At 40.6% G+C, this 24,468-nt stretch overlaps 1 protein-coding gene across 11 annotated transcripts in view; it reads right to left on the bottom strand.

The window, feature by feature from the left end:
• The window catches only part of AMOTL1 (angiomotin like 1), a 170,289-nt gene that overhangs the window by 51,943 nt on the left and 93,878 nt on the right, over nt 1-24,468 (bottom strand). For 10 of the 11 annotated variants that reach the window (XM_005273798.5, XM_011542626.3, XM_006718772.4 and 7 more), the window contains one exon: nt 2,985-3,276. In XM_005273798.5, the coding sequence (XP_005273855.1) occupies nt 2,985-3,276 (292 nt within the window). Of the gene's footprint in view, nt 1-2,984; nt 3,277-4,420; nt 24,468 lie in introns of those variants that run through there. The other variant, XM_011542628.3, reaches the window with a different exon arrangement.

Genomic DNA, 24,468 nt, shown 5'->3' with positions numbered 1-24,468 from the left:
ATGGAATGAAACTGTGGGCATAGCGGGGTCATATCCTACAAGATTGTACAGCAAAACAGGGGTCACATCCATGCCAGGAGAACTGGCAGCTATCATCCCTGAGAAGCAAAGTTGTCACCTCATCTGACCACCCTCTCCCCAGACCTAAGGCTCAGGCAGCTACACTGAGTGGCAAGGCTGGGGATGAGGGAAGATCTGGGACTAGGGTGACCTTAGGAACGCAAGGCACAAAATGTTACGTCACGAAGTTCATGCAACTCTTGTGTCTCTTGGTCCTAGTTGTTGAGAACAGTTATCCAACTTGTGATGAGTATGCAAGTATCCATCAAAATCTGAGGTTTTGAATCAATAATTCTGGTTTTACATATGACAGATTAATGTAGTACAGTAAGTCCTCATGTAACGTCACTGACAGGTTCTTGGAAACTGCAACTTTAAGTAAAATGACACATAGCAGGCCCCCAAATAACATCATTTCATTGTGATGTTGATGAGGAAAAAATTGGCTTTGCTTAAAATTGTAGCTTCCAAGAACCTATTGATGATATTAAGTGAGGACTTACTGTACTTGTAGAACAATTTATAACATTCAAGGGACTGAAAAAGTTTTGGGTTCAAGAAGGGACACAGCTTTTGATTTGTCTCCTCTTCCAGAGGTCATCAAAATCCTTTAGGCCACAACTTTTAAGAACCATCCTCTGTGCAGGAATACTGAGACACTGGGAGATTAAGCCACTTTAGTTTTCAAAATGGAAATGTGCATCAAAATCAAGAAAGAGATGTATGTTATAGGTCAATAAAAAGTACATGTTTAATCCTAGCACTTTGGGAGGCCGAGGTGGGCGGATCACGAGGTCAGGAGATCAAAACCATCCTGGCCAACATGGTGAAACCCCGTCTCTACTAAAATACAAAAAAAAAAATTAGCCAGGTGTGGTGGTGCGCAACTGTAGTCTCAGCTACTCAGGAGGCTGAGGCAGGAGAATCGCTTGAACCTGGGAAGCGGAGATTGCAGTGAGCCGAGATCGCGCCACTGCACTCCAACCTGGCAATGGAGTGAGACTCCATCTTAAAAAAAAAAAAAAAGTACATGTTAATAAAAAGGCAATGAAAAATAACAAGGCCTCCAATTTCTGCACCATTTGTGTAACTCTTCAGAAACAGCCATGGGAAAAACCCCAGCACCAAACTCTGCCTTCAAGTGGGTCTGTATAGCTTCTGGACATGTCTGCCTTGAAGCTTCATTAGGAGAGAAGAAAGAGGTCCTTGTTTCCCAAGAAGTGCTGAGTCTGCACTTCCCAATTTTCAGACCATACCTAAAAGAAGCTGCCCAAAAATGACAGAGGCAAGCTTGGGCCTGTGCAGCATCTTATAGGCTGAGGGCTGTGAGACAACATGCCTATTTCCCAACTTCTAAGGGTGCAAGAGGGGGTGGGAGTGAGGCCACAATCTTTAGGCGGCCCCTGTCTGTTTCTGGCTCTCATTTTTCCCCTCCAATAAAGGCAGCCAGAGCTCCCTCAGCCAAGTCTGGTCTTGACTCCAGGGAGCTCCAGACCTTTTCAGTGGAAGCTCTGCACAAACGTGCTGGGACAAATTGTCTGTAAACACATGCACCATCAAATCCACTGCTCCCTGACAACCCTCAGGAAGCAAGTAGAGCCTACTACTCTAAAACCCTTGGCCAGCAAAATGACCAGCTTGACCTGTGAAATCACCACTAACTCATGAACACTAACACTAAATCGGCCAGCCGGAGCATTAATTGTCACATAGAGCCAAAGTGACAACATTCTTGTAGTCAGATGGGGTTTACACTCCTACGCTTTAACTTTACAGAAGCCCTTTATTGCCAAGGGAAGAGCCCGCACTTACTCTTAGAGGATCGCTACTACTACACATGCCTCCTCACCCCCAGAAAGGAAACTCAAGTGCTCTATGGCTGTCCTGCCCTAAAACATCCTATTACCTTTGCTCAACCCCCTTGCATCCTACCTGTAGCACATCAGATGCTGACCTGAGGGGCATAATGAAATCACTGCCCAGCAACAGCTCGTTCTTGCTGGACGTTCCCCTATTTACTTTGGCTCTCAGCATAAATCTGTAAGAATAATGGCTGCCATACATTTAAATATTCCAACAGTAACTACACAGGCTGGAATTACTCAGCATCTCCCCACCTGATAAGTCACAAACATGCAGAAAGCACACAATAACTCGTACTCTTGACCCTCTCATGTTGAGGCAAGGCTGCTTTTTGCAGAGACCGGCTAATGAAATGAACATGACAACACAAGGTTCCTGTCTGAGATTCCTAAATTTAAAGGAAAATTTGGTATCTCTCACTTCATTTCTCTGTGGTTTTATTTATTTTTTATTTTTGAGACAGGGTCTCACTCTGTCACTCAGGCTGGAGTGCAGTGGAGCGATCTTGACTCACTATAACCTATGCTTCCCAAGCTCATGTGATCCTCCTGAGTAGCTGGGACTGCAAGGCATGGGCCACCATGACTGGCTAATTTTTGTAGAGACAGGGTCTTGGCATGTTGCCCAGGCTGGTCTCAAACTCCCAGGCTCAAGCGATCCACCTGCCTCAGCCTCACAAAGTGCTGGGATTATAGGCATGGACCACCGCGCATGGCCTCCTCCGTGTTATTTACTCTCCGTGTTCCCTCTTCTACATTTGTCCAGGTGGGGTAATCCTACTTAGCCTCTGAGTCTCCGGTCAAGAGCCACCTCTGCTGTTCCTACAGTAGACCCTTCACACTCTTACTGAAGGTAGCATATGCAACTCTCTCCCCTTTTTGGAATGTAAGCTCCTCCAAGGCAGGAACTGGGTCATATTTATTTTCATCTCCCTAAAGCCTTGCACAGGGCCTAGTATAAAAAGGGGTCTACTGCAATGTTGGCAAGTCAGTCAGTGCATCAACTCCCCATGACCAGGTAAAGAATTTGTCTCCCTCCCATTCCCCAGGGAAGTCACGCACCTTGTGGAGCTTGTCGGCATTGTCGTAGTAACCCTGAAGTTCCTGGTGAAGCACCCGGTTCTCCTCTGTTAATATCTCCACCATTTGCTGGGCTCGCTCCACAATCGCAAAGGCATCTGGACCAAGCTGCTGGCTGGGGGAGGCGGCAGGCGGGGGCTGTGGAGCACCCAGGGCCATCGGGAGTGGAAGCGGCAGGGAGACAGAGTGCAGTGGCCCGCTGGCGGAAGAGGTCTGGGAGGACATGGGGCTGTGCTGCTGCATGGTTGATGGGAACGGAAGTTGGCATGGGCGGCTGCAAGGCAATGGAAGGCAGCAGTTAGAGCCTGGGGAAATGGTGGGAGCAGGAAGGAAGCCCCAACAATACTGGCACTGTTGATGGCTTCCATGGTCAGAGGCCATCAGTGCACTTCCCAGTGGGAGGTATTCACTGTGCTCCCATCTCAATTGGCACCATTCCGGCTATTGGGGAAACAGCGAACAAGACAGACCAGGTCCCTGCTCTCAGATGTTTACATGGTAGGGAGAGAGAAAGGCAAGCCACCCAACAATAAAGCCAAGTATCAAAACGTAACAAGTACTCTCCAAAGAATAAGGTGGAGTGATGTGACAGGGAATGACCCCAAGTGACAGGGAATGACCCCATGGCTACTTCCTACTGAGAGAGCAGAGAAGGAGTCTCTGAGAGGGGTGGTTTGAGCTGAAGTCACACTGACAGACAAGAACCAGTGGTTTGGACAGAGCGGGTGAAGAAGTGGGGGAAAGGAGTATTCCATGTAGGAGGTGTCAGCTAGCACGGTGGTCCCCAACCACTGGGCCATGGACCAGTACACATCTGTGGCCTATTAGGGACTGGGCCACACAGCAATAGGTAAGTGAGCAAAGTTTCATCTATATTTACAGCCATTCCCGATGGTTCACATTACTGCCTAAGCTCTATCTTCTGTCAGATCAGCAGTGGCATTAGATTCTCATAGGAGCTTGAACCCTATTGTGAATTGTGCATGCAGGGGATCTAGGTTGTTTGTTCCTTATGATAATCTAATGCCTGATAACCTGTCACTGTTTCCCATCAACCCCAGATGGGACAATCTAGTTGCAAGAAAACAAGCTCAGGGCTCCTACTGATTCTACATTATGGTGAGTTGCATAATTATTTCATCATATATTACAATGTAATAATAATAGAAACAAAGCGCACAATAAATGTGATGCGTTTGAATCATCCTAAAACTACTCCAACCCCGCGATTGTCTGCGGAAAAATTGTCTTCCACAAAACGGATCCCTGGTGCCAAGAAGGTTGGAGATGCTAAGCTAGCGCACAGGGCCTGAGGTAGGAATTAGCACTGGCACAAGCAAGTAGTATGAAGCACTGCCAGCAAGTAGCAGTGCAAGATAAGACTAGGGTGATGGGCAGGTGCCACAGCCAGACTTTACCTTGGAGTGTACAGAGGCCAGGGGAGGAGCTGCCTCTCCTGTGGTGTGCACAGAATGCAGTGCATGGTGGCAGGAACACTCGTGTGGAGTCCAATGAGGCCCAGGTGTGGTCTAGGTGAGAACTGAGGAGAGCTCAGAGTAGTGGCAGAAGAGAAACACTCAGAAATTGGGATTCATTTTGTATATATCATGGATGGGGAGAAGGGAAGTCGGGAAAATTAAAAATTACTCCTAGATTTTGGGCTCTACACAAATTGATAGGGGCACCATTTAATGAAGTGGGAAGTCTTGGGGAGAAACTGATTTGTTTTGCTGAGGTAAGGGAGGTCTAGAGCTCAAGAGTCTAACTTTAGCCATGTCAAAAAGAACACATAAGGGTGTCCCTTCATAGCTCAAATACCTAGTATTAGCTCCTATCTTTGAGATCATGAATTTCCATCCCCGTCCCCATTCCTAACAAGTCCATCCTAACTATTCAGTTAACCTGTTTCCTAAGAATCACTGTATTTTCTTTCAACCTAAGCCAAGGGCTCCTAACAACATTTAGAAATATAAAGGGTATGAACCAAAAAGTATCTGAGACAGATCTCAATCAATTTAGAAAGTTTATTTTGCAAGGTTAAGAATGTGCCCATGACACAGCCTCAGGAGGTCATGACCACATCTACCCAAGGTGGTCTGGGTACAGCTTGGTTACATACACGTTAGGGAGACATGAGAGACACGAGACGTCAATCAGTATGTAAGATGAACATTGGTTTGGTCTGGAAAGGCTGGACAACTCCAAGTGGGGGAAGGGGCTTCTAGGTCATAGGTAGATAAAGAGACAATTGGTTGCATTATTTTGAGTCTCTGATTAGCTTTTCACTGAATACACAATTTACGTGTGAGAGGAGGGTAAAAGAATAGTCACTTACACCTTAGTCTGGCTTAGTAAAAAAATAGGGCAGAGGAACTAATCACATATGCATTTGTCTCAGGTAAGCAGAGGGATGACTTTGTGTTGTGTCTGTCCTATGTCCACAAGGAGTTTCCTTGTGGGGAAATTGTGAGGCAGGTATGTGGCTTTTTTATATTTTTGTAGCTATCTTATTTAAGAATAAAATGTGAGGCAGGTTTGCCTGATGCAGTTCCCAGCTTGACTTTTCCCTTTGGCTTACTGATTTCGGGGTTCTGAGATTTATTTTGCTTTCACATCTTTCCAAAAAAGCATTTTATAAGAAAATGAATGAGCCTCTGGTCTCAGGTTTTGTCTGATCTCTCATAACTAGGACAGTTTACTCCTAGAAAGGTAGGTGTCAGGTTATTAGGAAAGATCATTTTTAGTAGGTTGTGAAATCTCATATCCTATGAAGAGAAAATAGGAGGAGGAAGAGAAAAAAACAAACAAAAAAGATGAAGAACAATCCCGGAAAATTGATATAGGCCATATTATCTGAAGTCCACACATCAATAGGCAGGTATGAAAGTGGTTTATATATGTAAATAAGTTGCTGTTATTTTCTTCTGTAGCTTAAGTTGTCTAGCTTCAGTTTGCAGGGCTTTAAGAAAGCACAGCTTCATTTTTAGGGATTTTAAATCAAGAAAAAAATGGAGGGAAAATAGGACAGGAAAGAAAGAAAAAATCAATTAAAAACATTACTTTGGAGACGTGTAGCCAGGAAAAACTTTAGAATTCAGTCCAAACTATAGAAAATAATAAACATTGAAAAACATTAGACAAGACTAGAATCTAATAACAGGTGTAGTCTAGTTTATTTTGAAACATAATTTTTCTCTCTCCAGTCCCCATTTTCACTAAAGACAAATCACAAGACAAATTTATGTGTAAAATAACTGTTGGTCTTACTATACTTGGCCTGAGTATTTGCATAAAGTCAGCAAAAAAAAATTATTTGCCATATAGGCTGTTTTCTTTTTAATTGGCTTTACTGCAACTTTATTCCACAAGGAAACTCAGATTAGACTTCAATGCTTTGAGCTCAGCCTGTGCCTGCAAATACCTGTACTAATTGGGTGAATTCCTCACCTCAAGGGCCCAAGAAAACTTAGGGCTCCTGGGCCTGTCAGAAAGTGACATTCTTTACTTACTGCAGGTCAGGAACCTGTACAGGGACTGTGTAGACATGGTATAAGGCCAGCTTTCCCAAAGGGTTTTATTTGGCTCTACAAGTCAACCTCAATTCCTTAAAGCAATCTGGTTCTATCTAAAAGTATGCCATTCCAATGAAAGCCTTGGTAAAATAACCAGTGTCTCCAATTGTGTCCTATTACAAAGAAAAAGATTCTTATTGAACTTATGCAAATAACTATACTGCTATAAATTAAATATACTTGCAAATAGTTTTCAAATTCTGGAGAAATCAGGTAGAGAGATATATGCTTCAGATTTTGCTCACAGGAGTGTAGCTGCCCCAATTATTAAAAGCTGTAAACAGCTCAAAGAAAAAGGGTTTTCTAGATGCAGAAACAAAAGAATTAGCAACATTCCAAACAAAGTCATAAAAAAGATTATTTCAGTCTTTCATTAGTCTACGTAATTAAGTCATGTTCTGCTCGATGTTTATGAACACATTAGCTTTCTATGGGAGTCTTGCAAGTTTTTCCTCTATTCTAGTGTCACAGTCTCCAAAGTTATCAGAAACCTGCATTCAAGAACAACTGTCAGAGTCCTATAGCTGATTATAAAAAACACCTTTTGAAAAGAATAAAAGTGAAACAACTAGATGACAAAAGTTATGGTTAAAGATGCAAATGACAAGGAAATTGGGTTACTTCTATGGCATACAATTTTATATCAGAATCACCATTACTACTGATAACATTTACTAAGATATATTAGGCTCACAGGAATCTCATACAATTCTGGAACACATACTAATAACACATTTATATAAATATAATCCAAAGAAGGATAAACCCCATTTCATATTTGACACTACTTCCTGTATGATTTTATTACATCAAATAAGCTGAATATGTCTTTTTTGGACTTCAAGGGACCAAATATCAAAAGATTAATGAGGACTGAAGTTAAAATTTGATTTCAGAAAGTGTGTCAAATATAAAAAGTTTAAAACACTTCATATCACAAAACAGGATCACAAGTTGTTATAAAATAAGTCAATCATTTAGCCCAAATGATAACTCAACGATTTCCAAAAAAAAAAGCATAAACCTTTATTCTTTGAGAGCAATTTAACTTCCCAAACAACAAGCCCTAATAAAGACAGCATGAGGCCAATTAAATGTGTCTTTTAAAATTCTGTAAGTAAATTTATTAAATTTTAATTATCTTGACCATAAGATATAATTTCCATAAATCTTTTTATAATCTTTATAACCTTTTATTAAGGAGTGAGTTAATGCTCCAAAAAAATTGTGTTCATCTGACACAGAGGCTCATATGCTGGTCTTGCATCAGTGTGCGTTTGGTATTAATGGTTACTTTATAGAGAAACTGAACTAATTTTATCTCTCAACATTGGCCCTTACAATCTCATGCCCACCTCTTCCACAATAGTCTCTGGGTCTTGAGGAGTTGGATAGTTTTAATTTCTGGCCCTGTGTCTCACAAACACAGTTTATTTTGGTTGGCATCTTCTACCGGATCTGAAGATGAGGTTTTAACTGCTGTCAGGGTTTAAGACTGAAGAGGACTTGGTGTCCTGTTTAGCCCCAGAAGTCAAAGCTCTATAACTTAATGACACAAGGACTTTAAAAGCAAAATATAGAAAGTTACACAGATGTGATAACTTTAATTAAAAAAAAAATTTAATCTCAGTTTTTTCTAAGCAAACCAAAACTTAATAACAATGGCAAAGGAATTATTTCAATAAAATATAAAATGTGTTTGTTAGGCCAGTTACCAAAAGGCAAAAGAAAAGATCTTCTGCAGTGCCACTGCTATTCCCTGTGGGGTATCCATTTATTATCAATAACCTGAAAGTCAAACTAATAAAAAGCGTACTTCAATTAGACATAGGAAGAGTGTTTCTTAGGTAACAAGTAAAAATTTTTAGATTCACAGAACCATCTAAAGCCAAGAGCACAGAATGTTATGCTGGAGAAGACATTTCCTTTAGGCCTTTAGGATAAAACATTTTTAGTGTAAGGCCACAACAAACAAACAGCACCCGAGGAATAAAACTTACGGGAGCCAAAAGTGAGTTGAAGGAGATATTTACTATTTCGGGGCTTTTAAAAGGGGAGAGGAAGCTGAAACAGCAAGATACAATAAAAGTTAAACTTTGGGTTAAAAAATTAAAATGTCTTGTAATTTTGTTAAGGGTAAATCAATATCTTAAAAAAAGTTTCATTGTACTACCCAATTCTTTAGTGCATAAGTGTTTTTTTAAAATATCAAAACACAATCTCTAGAAAGACCATTATAAATAATTTCTCTTTCATTACAGACAACTTGATCATATAAAGTTTTTCTTCCCCCATAAAACTTTACTTTTACAAACCTTATTATGACTTACACAGACCATTCATGGCATACGTGGACTTTCTGGTTTGTCCTGAATATCCCTCTTTCTTAACCAGTCATTTTATTCTAGGAAAAAAATTTACCATACAAGATTCTTTCTCATATAAAATTATTTTCCTTTTTAACCTTTCTTGCCAAAAATACCTTTTTATATTTATAATTTTCTTTACAATGCTTTTATATACTGGTTACCATTACCTTGTTTTATAAATAACTTTTAAATAAACTTTGAATGAGACAAATATTATTTTCCTTTAAATAAGAACACATTTCTTTTATAGAAAAACATTTTTCTATAATTTATTTAAAAATTGGAAATGACCCAGACATTCAATGAATACGTATTATGTAACTTTAGATTTTAAATTATATGATAAGTTTATTTATAGGCATTTATTCCACTACATTTATCTAACTAATTGTTTTTTCAACCAGATTACTTATTAAAACTGTGATAGTTATCATTAAAAATGTTAACCATTTTATAACCTGTGGAGTTCAGGTTTTCCTAAGAACCTTAACATTAGACAAATTTTTTTTTTGTTTGTTTTTGCCAATAACTCAGGATTTAGCTGTTTTCATTAACTGAACAATACTGAATTCCTTATTTATCAAAGTTTACATAAAAAAAGATAATTTTCTTTTGTGCTACATTTATAACTTTATAGCCCTCATGCCACATTTTTACATCTAGCAGAGATAAATATTAAGCCACTTTACCAATGAATCTAAACGATAATTTATGTTGACAATTCTGAAGCCATTTCTAATTACATTTCATGAATACTTTTAAAACTAGCTTATTTATTAAAAATTTACTTAAGTCACATAAACTTGAAAAAGCATTTGGCTCAAAGTCTACTTTTTTCTGGTGGCTGGATTGTAAAAAGTGTTCAATAAATGTTTGCTGTAATAGAAAAAATTTACCAGGCTTCTCATGAATGCCCAGTGCTAAGCTCTGTATTAGGGGGTGTGGGATACAATGATAATAATTATAATCATGGTGAGAATATCTAACATTTATGCAGTGCTTACTATGTATCAGACTCTGACAACTGAATAAGTGGCATTATAGTCCCATGAAACGGAGATACAGGATGTCTAGTAAGCTTCCTCTCTGATTTCACAATCTAATAGGGAAACAGGCTCACAAATAGACAATTAGAACATGGAGTTATAGTCACAAGTAGTTTATCAGTAAGTGTGGGCTCCCATCCTCTCTTTTCCCCTTTTCTTTGTGTCCCCATTACTTGCACGTGTTTATCGTAATAGGGGCCCATCAATAACATTATCTTTGCAAGCCGAGGATAGGCTGTTTCATAGCACTGGTATGATTTTCTGTGAAATTGTCCTGTTCCCTTCTGACACTCCTTCTCCCTCGTTTACACTAAGCTCAGATCTGCTTGTACAGACCTTTGAGCTCACTCACCCCAGCTGGCTGAGCAGTGGAGCCAAGGAATAGAAGTTTCTCTCCTGCCTGCACATTGTCCATCGTAATGTGGTATTTATTAGCATGAATGCGTAACTGAGTTATTTGTGAGGCCAGTGCTCTCTGTTTGATAGAAAATTTCCCATTTTGAAAAAGCCCATTCTTTCCTGTCCCTTAAGCTTGGCAAACCTGCCTTTTCTGCACTGTCATTCAGGTAACTAGTCACCATCACTGATGACGTATGCTGGCATCAAGAAAGCACTATCACCTGATTTCAGCCTCTCTCCTTGGTTTTCCTTGTAATTGCTACCTGACATAAAAAGATGATGGAGAAGATAAGCTCCCATTGACCATAAGTGACTTCCAAATCCCAGAGTTAAATAAATGTTAAAAGATAGAAGCCCCACCCGAAGCTACCTGAGTAGAAGGGGAGGGAGTTGTAGACTCATCTGTGCCCCTCAGCCTGTAGGAGACAGCTGCGTTTCCTCTTCACATTAAGTGAAGTGTGAAAGGGAATACTCAGGAGGTGGGAATGGGTTTCTGCCCTTTCATTCAAAAGCAGTGGTGTAATCTGTGGCATTTTGGCTCTTACCAAGAGAACCTCTTTTCCCTGAAAAATGTATTATTGTAGGATTTAGCCAGCCTGCAGGAAGCACTGACTCAGTGACAGATGTGTAGTGTTTTGGGTCCATTCCTGATCGAAGCTCCTGTGACCTGGGGTGAAAGCAGGGCATTGTGAATTTCACTCTTGTGGTGGAGTTGGACTTCCTTGTACACATGGGACGACATGTATATTCACACGCACTTCAGTGTGGAAGGGGCACAAATTCACCAAGATGCAGAAATGCTTTGTGTCTAAAGAGATGGCAGGTTATGCAGTGGGTGTGTAGCGAGAGAGGGGAGGGATGGTTTAGGTGTGCCCACTGATAACATTCCTTTCTGAAAACTGCGGATGGTTGCAAGGTGAAGTCACTTATGGAATAAAGAATTGCACTGAGCTCTCCAGTTCTTTACCTTGCCTGGGGAACGTTGATCCCAGTTATTTCAACATGAAATGGGAGGGCTGCTAAATTGAAGGCCTAAGGAAATCCAGCTGGGAAACACATCCTGAGCCCAGATGGAGTGTCTTGAGTTCAGTTACCAAGCAAGGCCTGAGGCTAATTATTCTGTTAGGATCTGCTGGACTTATTCTGAGGCCATCTCTATGAAGGTCTGCGTATCCATGTAGGGAGGGCTGAAGTGATCCTTGTCAAATTGTCTTCTAGAGTTTGACATTCAGCTGTTAGGAGTTGGCATTCAGAGGAAACCTGGCTATGAGAAATACTTACAAAATGAGAGCTACAGAGGCTGACAGGCTCACAAACATTTCAGCAAACATACTTAAAAGGAAAATATAAGGCTAGGTGACCTCCTGCGGAGAATGGGGGTAGCTCTGAGAGCTTTCGCTATGGATGGCTACAAGTTATGGAAGGTTGCATATGTCACTGTTACTGATTAGAAGCAGCTGGCTCTTCAGAGGACTGACTCAGCCCTTTGATATGGAATGTGGATGATTTGGGATTTCATGCTAATGCTTAGTATCTAAGCTGCAGTTCCCAGATTGCGACCCAGTGGTTGAGATCAACAGAAAAATGAGTTTCCCAAGTCTTTGCAGAAGAGACACAGCTGTGGTTGGAGAACTACACATCAAGACTTTGTTTGCTTTTGTGAATGGCAAATAAATCTTGGGACCCCAAAATCACTAAGCCAAAGGGAAAAGTCGAGCTGGAAACTGTATCAGGCAAACCCGCCTCCTATTTTATTCTTAAATAAGATAGCTACAAAGACAAAACAAAACAAAACAAAACAAAAAACTATATACTTTCCTCACAATTTGCCCACAAGGAAATTCCTTATGGACAAAGGACAGACACAACTCAAAATCATCCCTCTGCTTACCTGAGAAATACATGTGATTGCTTCCTCTGCCCTACTGTTTCACTAAGCAAGACTAAGGCATAAGCGACTATTCTTTTACCCTCCTCTCACATGTAAATTGTGTATTCAGTTGAAAGCTAATCAGAGACTCTAAATAATGCAACAGATTGTCTCTTATCTACCCATAATGTGGAAGCCCCCTCCCCCACCTCAAGTTGTCCTGCCCTTCTGGACCAAACCAATATACACCTTACATTCATTGGCTGTGTCATGGGTGCATTCTTAAGCTTGACAAAATAAACTTCCTGAGATCTGTCTCAGATACTTTGGGGTTCACAAATTGGAAACCTGAAGGGATTCTGAGTGGTGGTTCCCCTGTACTTTGACAAATCTATGGGTGCTTCGTAGCAGCTTAAGATACCTTTAAGGCTCGGATCAATAGGACAATTTGCTGAGGCCTGGCAACTTCCCCTCCGGAGAATCCCTGATTTCCCCAAATGTGATCGAGATCTAAAGTTTATTTTGCTGTACAGCTCCTTTTCTGGAGTTTTGCTTTCTTCCAACAAGGAAGACAAGTTTTTCTGCATGATGGAGTGCAGGTAACTCCTTTCTGGAGTTTTAGCTTGCTTCCAACAGGGAAGGCAAGTTAGAGTTTTTTTCCTGTTTATAGGATGGTAGAGAGCAGTCATTAGCCTGAGCCCCACTCCTAGGTAAGTAGCTGAATTGGGGTTTTGTCTTGGCTAAACTTAACAACCAGCTGGTCTTAATTTCTCCTTAACTTTAAAGTGCTCAGTAATTGTATAAATTGTGAGATTGTTTGTTTTGCATAACTGTTTTGTTGTTGTTGTTGCTTGTTTGTTTCTGTTGTTGTTTCCATCTGTTTCCTATTGGGTTTGACCAGCTCTATCTGACTTGATCAAATCCAAGGGAAAGTTTCAAATTATGGGGAACAAGGCCTCTGAATTGGCTAAATTCCCACATCTGAAAAAAAAAAATGGGAAAAGGAAAATGACAGCCAGCAAAAGGTAAAAAAAAGAATTTTTTTTTTCTCGGAGGCAGAGTCTTGCTCTGTCGCCCAGGCTGGAGTGCAGTGGCATTAATCTTGACTTACTGCAACCTCCACCTCCTGGGTTCAAGGGATTCTCCTGCCTCAGCCTCCCGAGCGGCTGGGACTACAGGCGTGCACCACCACACCCAGCTAATTTTTTTGTATTTTTAGTAGAGACGGGGTTTCACCATGTTAGCCAGGGTGGTCTCGAACCCCTGACCTCAGCCATTCCACCTGCTGCAGCCTCCCAAAGTGCTGGGATTACAGCACTTTCAGCAGGCCTGAAAGATTTTTGATTTTGACCACTTGAGGGGCTTTATTTACATAACAAGGGCACCTTTATTTATGTAACAAGCCAAGCCAAACTGAAGTAGCAATGGCTGTTGCCCCATGCTGCAGTTCAGTAGCTAAAGGTAGCTAAGGTTCTGCCCCCAATTTTTTGTCACCACGATAGCCTGGGATTGGTTCCTAAATCAGGCTCTTTCTGGTTTGACATTTGTATTAGTTTTGAAATATCAGCAATTTGTTTTAGCTAAAATATGGTAATGAGACTTAAAATTTTTTTTTCTTAAGTAGCTCAATGGTTAGCAGTCAATTAAAAGCTAATATCCAAGATATGTGTGTGTACGCGTGTGTGTGTGTGTGTGTGTGTGTGTGTGTGTGTGTGTCTTTTATTTTTCTCTCCTAGGATCTTTCTTTTTTTTTTGAGAAAAAGTTTTTTTCTCTTCTCAGTTGACTGAATTCTGTTTTCTCCATTTACTTCTGCTCTCTCTCCTTTCTCTTGCCACACTCTGCTGCATAAGGGACCTGAAATAGTTTCTAATAGCCCAGGATTCCTTAAAGAAAACAAAGAAGGCACCAGACTCCCTTTTGGGGAGAAACCTCTGTTTTTCCTTATGGAACCCCAAGAGTGTAAACAGATAAGTTTGTCTCAGATCTTAAACTGCTTGCTTTACTAGTGTATTACCTCATACCTCATTTCTTTTCTTTTTTTTTTTTTTTTGGACTAAAATAGTTATTGTAGCAGAGATTACTCTGGGGTGTTTAAAGTAAGAAAGAGAGTAGTTTAGACACTTAGAGAAATGTCTTTGTTTGAAAAAAAGTGCACTATGAAAGCGTCACGTGGTCTAGCCCCATACTAGTTCTCTTTTTGGAGACCCAGGATTCAGTGTGGGCTCTGCCCAGAGTTCACAGATCCAGTTAAAAGACAGAGACTAAATTTAGAACTACCTATCTAAATAAAATTGGTTTCCTTATACAATTCTATGATAGATTTCTGTAATTTTATGTTTGACTTGGCATCCATTTTTAATCTCCCTGTAGTACCACCAGACTCTTTCTCTCTGTACCTTGAGATATAAATTTCACTATCTGATTTTTCACAAGAGTTGGCCCTTTAATATGCAAATTTAGGGCTATGTAGCTGACATCTGCCTGGAGTAATAAAACAGGTTATCAAGAAATTGGAAGTCTAAAATAGGAGGAAAAAAAAGAGGTGTTATGAATCTATAAGATCTATTTCTATGTGTCTAGTATATCTATGTATTTGTGTCACGTATATGTTTCACTACTAAAAATACATAAAAGCTCTAATTAATTGGCTTAAAGGAAAAAGTGCTTAAATCAAACACTTTATCAGAAAAAAAACAGACTTTGAGCCAAATGCTTTTTCAAGTTTATGTGACTTAAGTAAATTTTTAATAAATAAGCTAGTTTTAAAAGTATTCGTGAAATGTAATTAGAAATGGCTTCAGAATTGTCAACATACATTATTGTTTAGATTCATTGGTAAAGTGGCTTAATATTTATCTCTGCTAGATGTAAAAATTTGGCATAAGGGCTATAAAGTTATGAATCGTTAGCCTCTGTTATCATCACACACTGCTAATGGATGATAGAAGAAAGGCAAGAAGCACCACCCTTGGATTGCCCTTCCTCTTCGGAGACCATGAGCTAAGAATCACAGTCCCTGTCCCTACAGCCCGTGTGAGGAATCACAGCATGATCCAGCACCACGGAATGCAATGCCATGCACAACCAGAGCATGGTTCTGGACTGATGTCAGTGCATGTCAGTACACACTCTCAGACACAGATTCACATTCCTTCTAGTCCTACACTGTCCAGACAGTGGCCACTAACCACTAGGCTATTGGGTACTTGAAATGTGGCTAGTCTGAACTGAGATGTACTCTAAGGGTAAAACAGACATCAGAACTTGAAGACTTAGGGCCAGGCGCAGTGGCTCATGCTTGTAATCCCAACACTTTGGGAGGCCGAGGTGGGTGGATCACTTGAGGTCAGGAGTTCGAGACCAGCCTGATCAACATGGTAAAACTCCATCTCTACTAAAAATACAAAAATTAGCCAGGTGTGGTGGCATGCACCTGTAGTCCCAGCTACTTGGGAGGCTGAGGTAGGAGAATCACTTGAACCCGGGAGGCAGAGGTTGCAGTGAGCTGAGATCGAGCCACTGCACTCCAGCCTGGGCAACAAAGTGAGACTCCATCTCAAAAAAAAAAAAAAAAAAAAAAAGAAAGAAAGAAAAGAATTTAGAGACTTGGTAGAAAAGGAAAATACCTCACTGAGAGTTTTTAATATTGATTACCTGTTAAAATGACAATATTTTGGATATAATGGGTTAACTAAATTTTTTTAATGTTTCTAAATGAGTTAACTAAACTATGCTTTAAAATTAATTTCATTTGTCTCTTTCAAACTTAAGATGTCACTGCTAGAAAATGTTTAATGAGATATGTGGCTCATGTTACATTTCTATTGAACAGTGAGAGCTGCTCTAGACCATTGTGCATGTACCCTAGAAGGCCTGGTTCTGGAGAGCCAGTTCCAGATTTCAGTGAGCATCAGAGCAACTCATGCAACAGACTAGCTGTTCCCACTCTGGGGTCCCCAGATTCTCAAGCATGAATGGTGATCAGCAAGCCACACTCAATATATTAAACTCTATGTTCCTTTATAATTGGGCTATTAGGCTAATATGTAATAAAAAATGGCTTGTTTGACAAAAACTTTGCAAAACATGACAGGAAAAGAAAAAAAATCAATGGGTAAATAGAAAAAGGATGTAGTGAAGTAATTCATAAAGAGAAAATGCAGGGGGCTAAATAGACATTTTCCTATGCAAAATTAATAGAGAAATTAAAATCAAAACATTTCTCAAGTATTCAACTGAATACACAATTTACATGTGAGAGGAGGGTAAAAGAATAGTCGCTTATGCCTTAGTCTTGCTTAGTGAAACAGTAGGGCAGAGGAAGCAATCACATGTATTTCTCAGGTAAGCAGAGGGATGATTTTGAGTTGTGTCTGTCCTTTGTCCATAAGGAATTTCCTTGTGGGCAAATTGTGAGGAAAGTATATAGTTTTTTGTTTTGTTCTTGTTTTGTTTTGTCTTTGTAGCTATCTTATTTAAGAATAAAATAGGAGGCGGGTTTGCCTGATACAGTTTCCAGCTCGACTTTTCCCTTTGGCTTAGTGATTTTGGGGTCCCAAGATTTATTTGCCATTCACAAAAGCAAACAAAGTCTTGATGTGTAGTTCTCCAACCACAGCTGTGTCTCTTCTGCAAAGACTTGGGAAACTCATTTTTCTGTTGATCTCAACCACTGGGTCGCAATCTGGGAACTGCAGCTTAGATACTAAGCATTAGCATGAAATCCCAAATCATCCACATTCCATATCAAAGGGCTGAGTCAGTCCTCTGAAGAGCCAGCTGCTTCTAATCAGTAACAGTGACATATGCAACCTTCCATAACTTGTAGCCATCCATAGCGAAATATTAACAAATTTCTCAAGATATAATATATATTAGGCTTTTGCCTTTGTAAAAAATAATGCAGAGAAAAAAGACTGGAAGGAACTATTACAAAAGGAAAAAAAGACCGGAAGGAGCTATTACTGCAAGTGATGGGACTATGGATTTTTCTTCTACTCTTGATAGTTTTCTGTTCTTTACACATTTTCTACAATGAACATGTATGGCTACTTAAAAAAATTTTATTATCTAAATAATACATGTACATTATAGAAAAATTAGAAAACATGGATAAACCAAAAAATCAGCATTGTTATTTTAATATTCAGAAAAAATGTAAACAAAATGAAATTTAAAATGAGGTTAAATAATATAGGGCTTCTTGGCTGTGAAGAGGTTCAAATTTGAATTCTGTTGACTCAATAAAAATACCGCTTATTTATATAGAGCTTTGCAACTTACAGTATTTTCTTATAATTTTCTAGTCCTTGAAGCAACATAGTGAACAGAGGGTTTAACAATGGTATCTCTGGATAATAAGACTGAGGCAATTTCTATTTTCTTTCTTTTGGGGGGCGGAATGGGAGTTATCTGTATTTCTAAATTTTGTGCAATGAATATGTTTTATTTATCGAACGAAGAAAATCAGTTATTATGGCAAAAACCATAATTACTTTTGCACCAACCTAATAGTTTTAGGGAAAAAAAATCAGCTGTAACATTTCACAGATAAGGAAACTGAGGCTCTGAGAACTTATGCAATTTGCTACCGGAAGGAAGAGCCAGAACCCAAACCCCCTGAAATTTTTTTTCCAAACTCATGTAACTTCCCACCTGGACCCCTTTGGTCATGTAGACACCTTAAATCTCATAACTGTTCAAATGAAGACTCTACTCTTGGGTAAACTAAGATCAAAATCATTGCTATCCAGGGTGGCTACAGATAACCCTCCTGTTTACAGAAGTCACTCATTTAATACATTACAGCTGGAATTGTTAGGTTTCCTGAGAAAGTAACCTGAACTTGACCCTAGCTTCTTGAAATACCCATGCTGCAGAGCCGTTTGTCAGGACACACAGGGCATTTTATTTCCTTCATCCAGCCATAATTCGGCCTAAATACCGGAGAAACTCCTGAGTTCCCATGCTGGTATTCAAAACACATGTTTAGCTGGTGGAATTTAAATAAGGCTCCATGGCCTCATTTTCGTTAAGGGCAATGCATCATTTTTAATTCAACAGCCATGGGTCTGGCTTACCTTTTCATCCCACAAAGCAATTCATTTTCATGATTGCATAAACTGCAAATCATAATTCCCCATTTTGGAAACACATACTTACTCCCAAGATTCTCCTCCCTCCTCCAGCCATGTCCAACACAAAGTAAGACAGGACCATCAAACCTTCTTTCTTGTAATATGGCACATTCCAAACACAGAGCCCACTAGGAGTAAGGCCTGTGATTTAGCAAATATCTTCATGCTTGTTCATGTTTAGACTGGACTTGCTGCACTGCTGGGCTGACAGGGTTCCCTGAGGACAGGCGTTATCTTTAATTTGCCAAATGTACTCTTGGGCTGCCCCCACTTTACTTGTCCCTCCTCCCTGCACTGTCAGTGGGCATGTACCCAGAGAATGTCAGTGCCTCTGACTCTATCCTCAATGAAAAGAAATCAGGTTTTCTGGGGGAAAATGCATAATGCATTTTTTTAAAGGAAAATAGTGATTTGGGGAATAGGTCATACCACAGGTTCCCTCACTTAATGTATGACACTGCAAGCCCCCTGCCCTGATGAGAAAGAAGGTGGTGGTGATGGCTGTCCTGGGACAAGGCAAGAAGTCTGCTTTACGACAGGAAATCCACAGCTCCTCTGGCTTTGACATCATCTTATATTTTCATCAACCTAGGATGGGAGGGCTGGGCCAAACACTACCATGTCATGCTTTTATAAAATATCTATCTACATACCAAAAAATCAAATTAACGTACTCATAGATGAACAAAATATTAATAAACAGTTACCACTCTTCTCTCCACTTCCCGGAAGCTAGTAAATCAAATCCCCTATGCTGAACAGACAAGATTGAGCCAAGATAAAGGCCAAAAAGGCAATGTACAGGCTGAGAGAGTAGAAACAGAGCCTTAAGTGTTCTTTTCATTGACAGGAGTCATTCTTAGTCTTTTTCCAAATGGATACTGCCTAAAACATACAAATTAGTCTTAAGTTAGTATTCATCATCTTCCATAATGGAAACATTCTAATAAAAATATCTAAAGAAAACCCACAACCCTCACCCTAGGAATGAAAGCACCTCCAAATGAAAGCAAACCAAAAGACAGACGAAAGCCCACACCCACAGCTGTCAGCCCCATTAAGTCTGGTCTGTGACAGTCTTCCCAGATATCTGAAGAAAAAGAGGTATCCAGACAGCTTTCTTCCTAGAGTCTAGAATACTTCACCAGAATTCTGGTCCTGTTGAAAAAAACAGAAGGTGGGCAGAGCACAGGCTGGACATCACATGTGATATATTCTATAAATCTGATTAGAAATTCACCAGATTTAGTGACCCCAAGTGAAAGCTTAAATCTGCGGCTCCACTGCAAAGTACAGTGGCCAAGTGTTTACACTCGTGGGAGACGCAGTGTGCAGCAAAGCATTCCAGGTCTGCACCTGGCTCCTGCACTTGCAAGCTGCTGGCTTTGATCAAGTTAGTTAACCTCCCTCTCTAAGCCTAAGTTTTTATTGTATGTAAAAATTGTGATAATAATAGTACCCACCCTTTAGAGTTGTAAAGATTAAGGAAGATAAGTAACCCACACAAAGTGCCTGGCACACAGTCAGCATTCGGTGAAGGTTTCACCCTCCTGCTATGACTACCACCACCACAACTACTCCATTCTCACCTGCTAAGGGTGAAGACAGAGTTCTAGAAAATGGACAATGAGAGCAAGTGTTAGAAAAAACAGATTTTAGTTTATGCTGAGTCCATTATAATATATAAGTCTTAGGAACAAGAAACACAAAAAGCCTATTTTTGAGATCAACTAAGTCTAAATAGCAAAACATACTCCCTTCCCCACAAAATTAACCTAGCCAGTTATAACAAATTCAAATAGGAAGTTAAGACTATTTGCAGGCAGGGTGCAGTGTTCACCTGTAATCTTAACACTTTGGGAGGCCAAGGTGAGTAGACTGCTTGAGCCCAGGAGTTCAAGACCAGCCTTGCCAACATAGTGAAACCCCAACTCTACCAAAAAAGAATTACAAAAATAGTTGGGCACGGTGGCACATGCCTGTAATCGCAGCTACTGGGGAGACTATGATGGGAGGATCACTTGAGCTTGGGAGGCAGAGGTTGCAGTGAGCTGTGACTGCACTGCTGCACTCCAGCCTGAGCGACAGGCATCTCAAGACAACAACAACAAAACACTATTTGCCTATTAAATTAGCAAAGATTTTGCAATTATAATGATGTAATAACTAACGTTGGTCAAAGTGCAGTAAAACAGGCACCGTAATATTTTTACAAGGTTTTCTGGCATCAGAAGCTTTTAAATGTTTATTATAATTTACCCAATAATTTCATTTCTAAATAATGATTCCTAAGGAAGCCAAAACATAGATAATTTGATATGCATGATGATGTTCGCTCTATCATGGAGAAAATGGTGTAAATGGTATACTTTATGAAATATTATACAGCAATAAAAATGTTGGTTTTGAAAAAATAAAGGATTGTGGAAAAAAGCTTGTGATACAATGCTATCTTTCAAAAGCGAGGATACTAAACAATATAATTTATCATTATAATGTGAAAAAATTAATTTGTACAGGAAAAATGTTAGTGGGTGTATTAGGAAAGTAGGATATTTTAAGTAATTTTTTTAGCATCTCTAGTTCCCAAATGTTTTGAAATATGGATTTCTTTGGAAAACAAATATGCATGTTGACTAATATACTCCAAACTGCTTTGATAAAAATTAGATCATCCCTTGGTATTCATTCATGCATTCATTTCCATTAACAGTGCAGATTGCATAAGCCAAGTCACTACTTCTAGAAGTGGTCTGTTTCCACAAAGAGTCATAAGTAATATCCAAATGCTTGCCTTTGCTTGGGGGGTTGGGAGTGGTCACAATTCTCCACAGTAACAACCTGTTTAATTCCCATCTTGTCCTCATTCTTATCCATTTACACTTTCAGGTTGAGGAAAAAGTATAGTAGAACAAGAGGAAAACCAGAGCCTTCATCCCTAGCCAACACATGTTCCCTGCAGGCCCCTGCTGCCTTAGCACTCCCATCCCCACCAGCCACAGTAGCTCACCCACATGGGCCAAGGTGGGTCAAGTCAACGAGGTCAAGGCCTCATCTCCCAGAGGGTTCCCAGGAAAGGGGCCTAAAGGGCCTTATAATCACCTACCAGACATCTCCATCTTTAGGGCGCATCAGAGCAGGTGAGAGAATTTGTAAGCTATGGTGAGTCAAGAGTGATCACAAAAAACTCAAATTCTTATTCTTCTCATAAGTTCTATCACTTGTCTCTTTGGAGCTTTCTACCTCTAGGCAAAAAGGAGTGAAGTCTCAACAATGTAATGGGTTGGACCAAACTACTGAGTACTCATTACATACTGAGCCCACCAGTATGGGCACCAGCCAGGGAGATGGACTCCATGATCTCCATCAGAGGCGTCTCTTTCTAGTCCAAGAGTCTATGTGGTTGTACGTATGTACACAATGGCCTGCAGCTTCCTAAACCATCACGATCAATGACAAACAGATAACCCTTTAAGCACAAGATAATGTGTCAGTGAAATGAAAGGGGCCCTACTTGTCTTCTGGGTCACAGGCAAGTTGAACATGACACACTGCTGAGTTTCAGGTCCAATCCTTCGAGTTCAGGCCACGTTAAATGTGTCTGAAGCAGGGCTGGTGTGGATGCAATATTGTTTACCCAGTCAGCCAAGGGCTGCACCACTGGAGCCATGCTGGCTAGCCATGGCCCTGTTCACAAAGGGGCCTTGTGGCTCTGGGACCCAGCCTCAATGGCCTGTCTGTTACGTCTCCTGAGACATTTGATGCGTCATATTAACCAGCTGCCAAGCCTGGCAGTCAGCTCAAATCCCTCACACATTTCTTCTTCTTTCTAACGTCATAACTTTGAGAAAAATGACCTCCAAAAGTGTTCCCCTCCTCCCCTGACCATTTCTCCCACCTCACATCACACCTATTACCAAATGACAAAAGGCAAAGTGATCCACTGTATGCATTGCACGGTATGTACATATTACTTTACAAATAGTAAAGCAAAGAAGAGGAAGGGGATTTCATTTCAGGATAGCTTCCCCTCTATCAAGCTCTAGAGGCTGAGTTAAGTTATCAGGGAAAAGGGTGAAATATAATAAGCCAAACTCTGGTATGATGGTGGAATAACATCATGGCTTATTTTAAACAACTGTGGTAAATCACTGTGATGCAAATACCAGGGATTTGATCAAGGAGCTATAAAGGGGGAAGAAGAGCCTCCTGGATCCCATCTTGGATTCCTGGGAGGAGTCCGGTTATGCCCACTTAGGGAGAATGCGTTCTCCTGCCTGGCCAAGATCTCACAGTTGGTTATGCTGCTTCTGAGCTGGCATTCTCAGTCTAATGTGGGGAAATGTGTCAGTGCTGGGAAGCCAGTGGCAGATCAGGCCACTCTCCCTCTGCCAACCTCCAGCCTCTCCTTTTTCAGAAGATGTACAGCCAAGGTATGTCCTGCACATAGCCACTGAGGTCGCTTGGGAAAACCCTGGCTTGTTCAATTTAGAAACAGATAATAAAGCCCTTCATGAAAATGACACATCCAATAATAGGCAGTGGCCACATGTCTTTTCTGTTCATGTTCCCTGCCCCTCCTTCAATGTCAGCAACATCTAAACATTTCTGACTCCCAAAGTGTGATCTTCAGACCCAATTTCTCTCCTGAGAGTTTGATTCGTAATTCCCTTATTTCCATCATCCCTATTCCAGAATTTCTGTATCTAACCAATCCCTAAACCCTGTCAGTTCTATTTCCCTACCTCTCTTAGCACATAATGCTCCTCTATTCTCCCTGCCCAAGCTTTGGCCACCCTCACCAATTCTGATCTGGACTACTGAAAGCATCCCTGGAGCTCCTTGTGGCGTGGGGCTCCCTTTCCTCTAATTCATGCACTGCCACCAAAATCAGCTGTTAGACATCCACTTACCATCCCTACCTAAGAACACCGCTTTTCCCGATTGCTTATGGATACATTCTAAACTCCTTAATACGACACCCAGAGACCGTCATCATCAACTTCCCTGTCCAAACATACCTCAACCAAACGGGTCCCAACTTCCCTGTCCAAACATATCTCCTGTCACTTCTTACCACACCCTTGCCCACCAGTGCTCTGCATTATTGCCACTCATTCCAGACAAAAATCCTCATGACCTCTTTGTCTGAAGACACGGCACTCCCTCACACAGCACATACTGCTACTTCATCTCTACCCTACAACTCTGATTTATCCTTCAAGTTCCAACTCAAATGTCACCTCCTCTGGGAAGCTCTCTCCAGCCCCTCCAGTTGTGAGTTATACTATCCTACCTGTTACCCTAGCATCCTCGGCCCATTTCTCTCCTAGAACAGCACATTGAATGGCAATGATCTGTTCAGATGCTGGTTTCCTCCAAGACAATGCTATAGGGTCCTGAAGGGCAGGGACCCCATCTCTGAACCAGGAACAGGGCTTCAGAGTACAGCATACACTCAGTAGGTGCTGCTGAATCCATCAATCAACTGGAAGAATACAAGTGAAGGCTGTAGGAAGAATTAGGGCAAGGGAGTGAATAGATTTTGGCAGTCAGGATACTTGAGTGTAGCCCCCAGCTGCCTCAGAGTTGTGTCTATGAAATTCATTAATCTCTCCAGGCTTTAGTTTCTCATCTGTTGAGTGAGGGATGGGACTATGTGATTTCTACAGTCCCTTTAACTCCTCCATTCTAGCATTCAGACTACATTTTCCTTTAAAATCTACAATGAAAAAAGACTATAAAACCCTCTGGTAATAATATGTTCCAGGAGTTTGGACGGTCTCCACAAAGCCATTGGAAAATTGCTACTTTGCCAGGCCACTAGGCAGAGCTCCCAAGGACAGCTAACAAGTGAGGTCCCTCCCCTAAACTCATAAATCCCCAACTGCCTGCTGCTATGTTTGGAGAAAATCCCTCAGTTGCCCTCTACTCTATTTCACCCTATATATTCTGGCCACAAAGTGGTTTATTAAATATCATGCATAAGGAAAAAAGCCTGATGACAAAAACCTAATCTGCTCTGAAAATAATAAATGCTAATAACATGACTATTGAATTTTGAAAAGCCGC

This window comes from Homo sapiens, chromosome 11 (assembly GCF_000001405.40).
Source record: "Homo sapiens chromosome 11, GRCh38.p14 Primary Assembly".
NCBI lineage: Eukaryota > Metazoa > Chordata > Mammalia > Primates > Hominidae > Homo > Homo sapiens.
The sequence above is the reverse complement of the archived record's forward strand: the minus strand, read 5'-3'. Positions and strand labels throughout refer to the sequence as shown.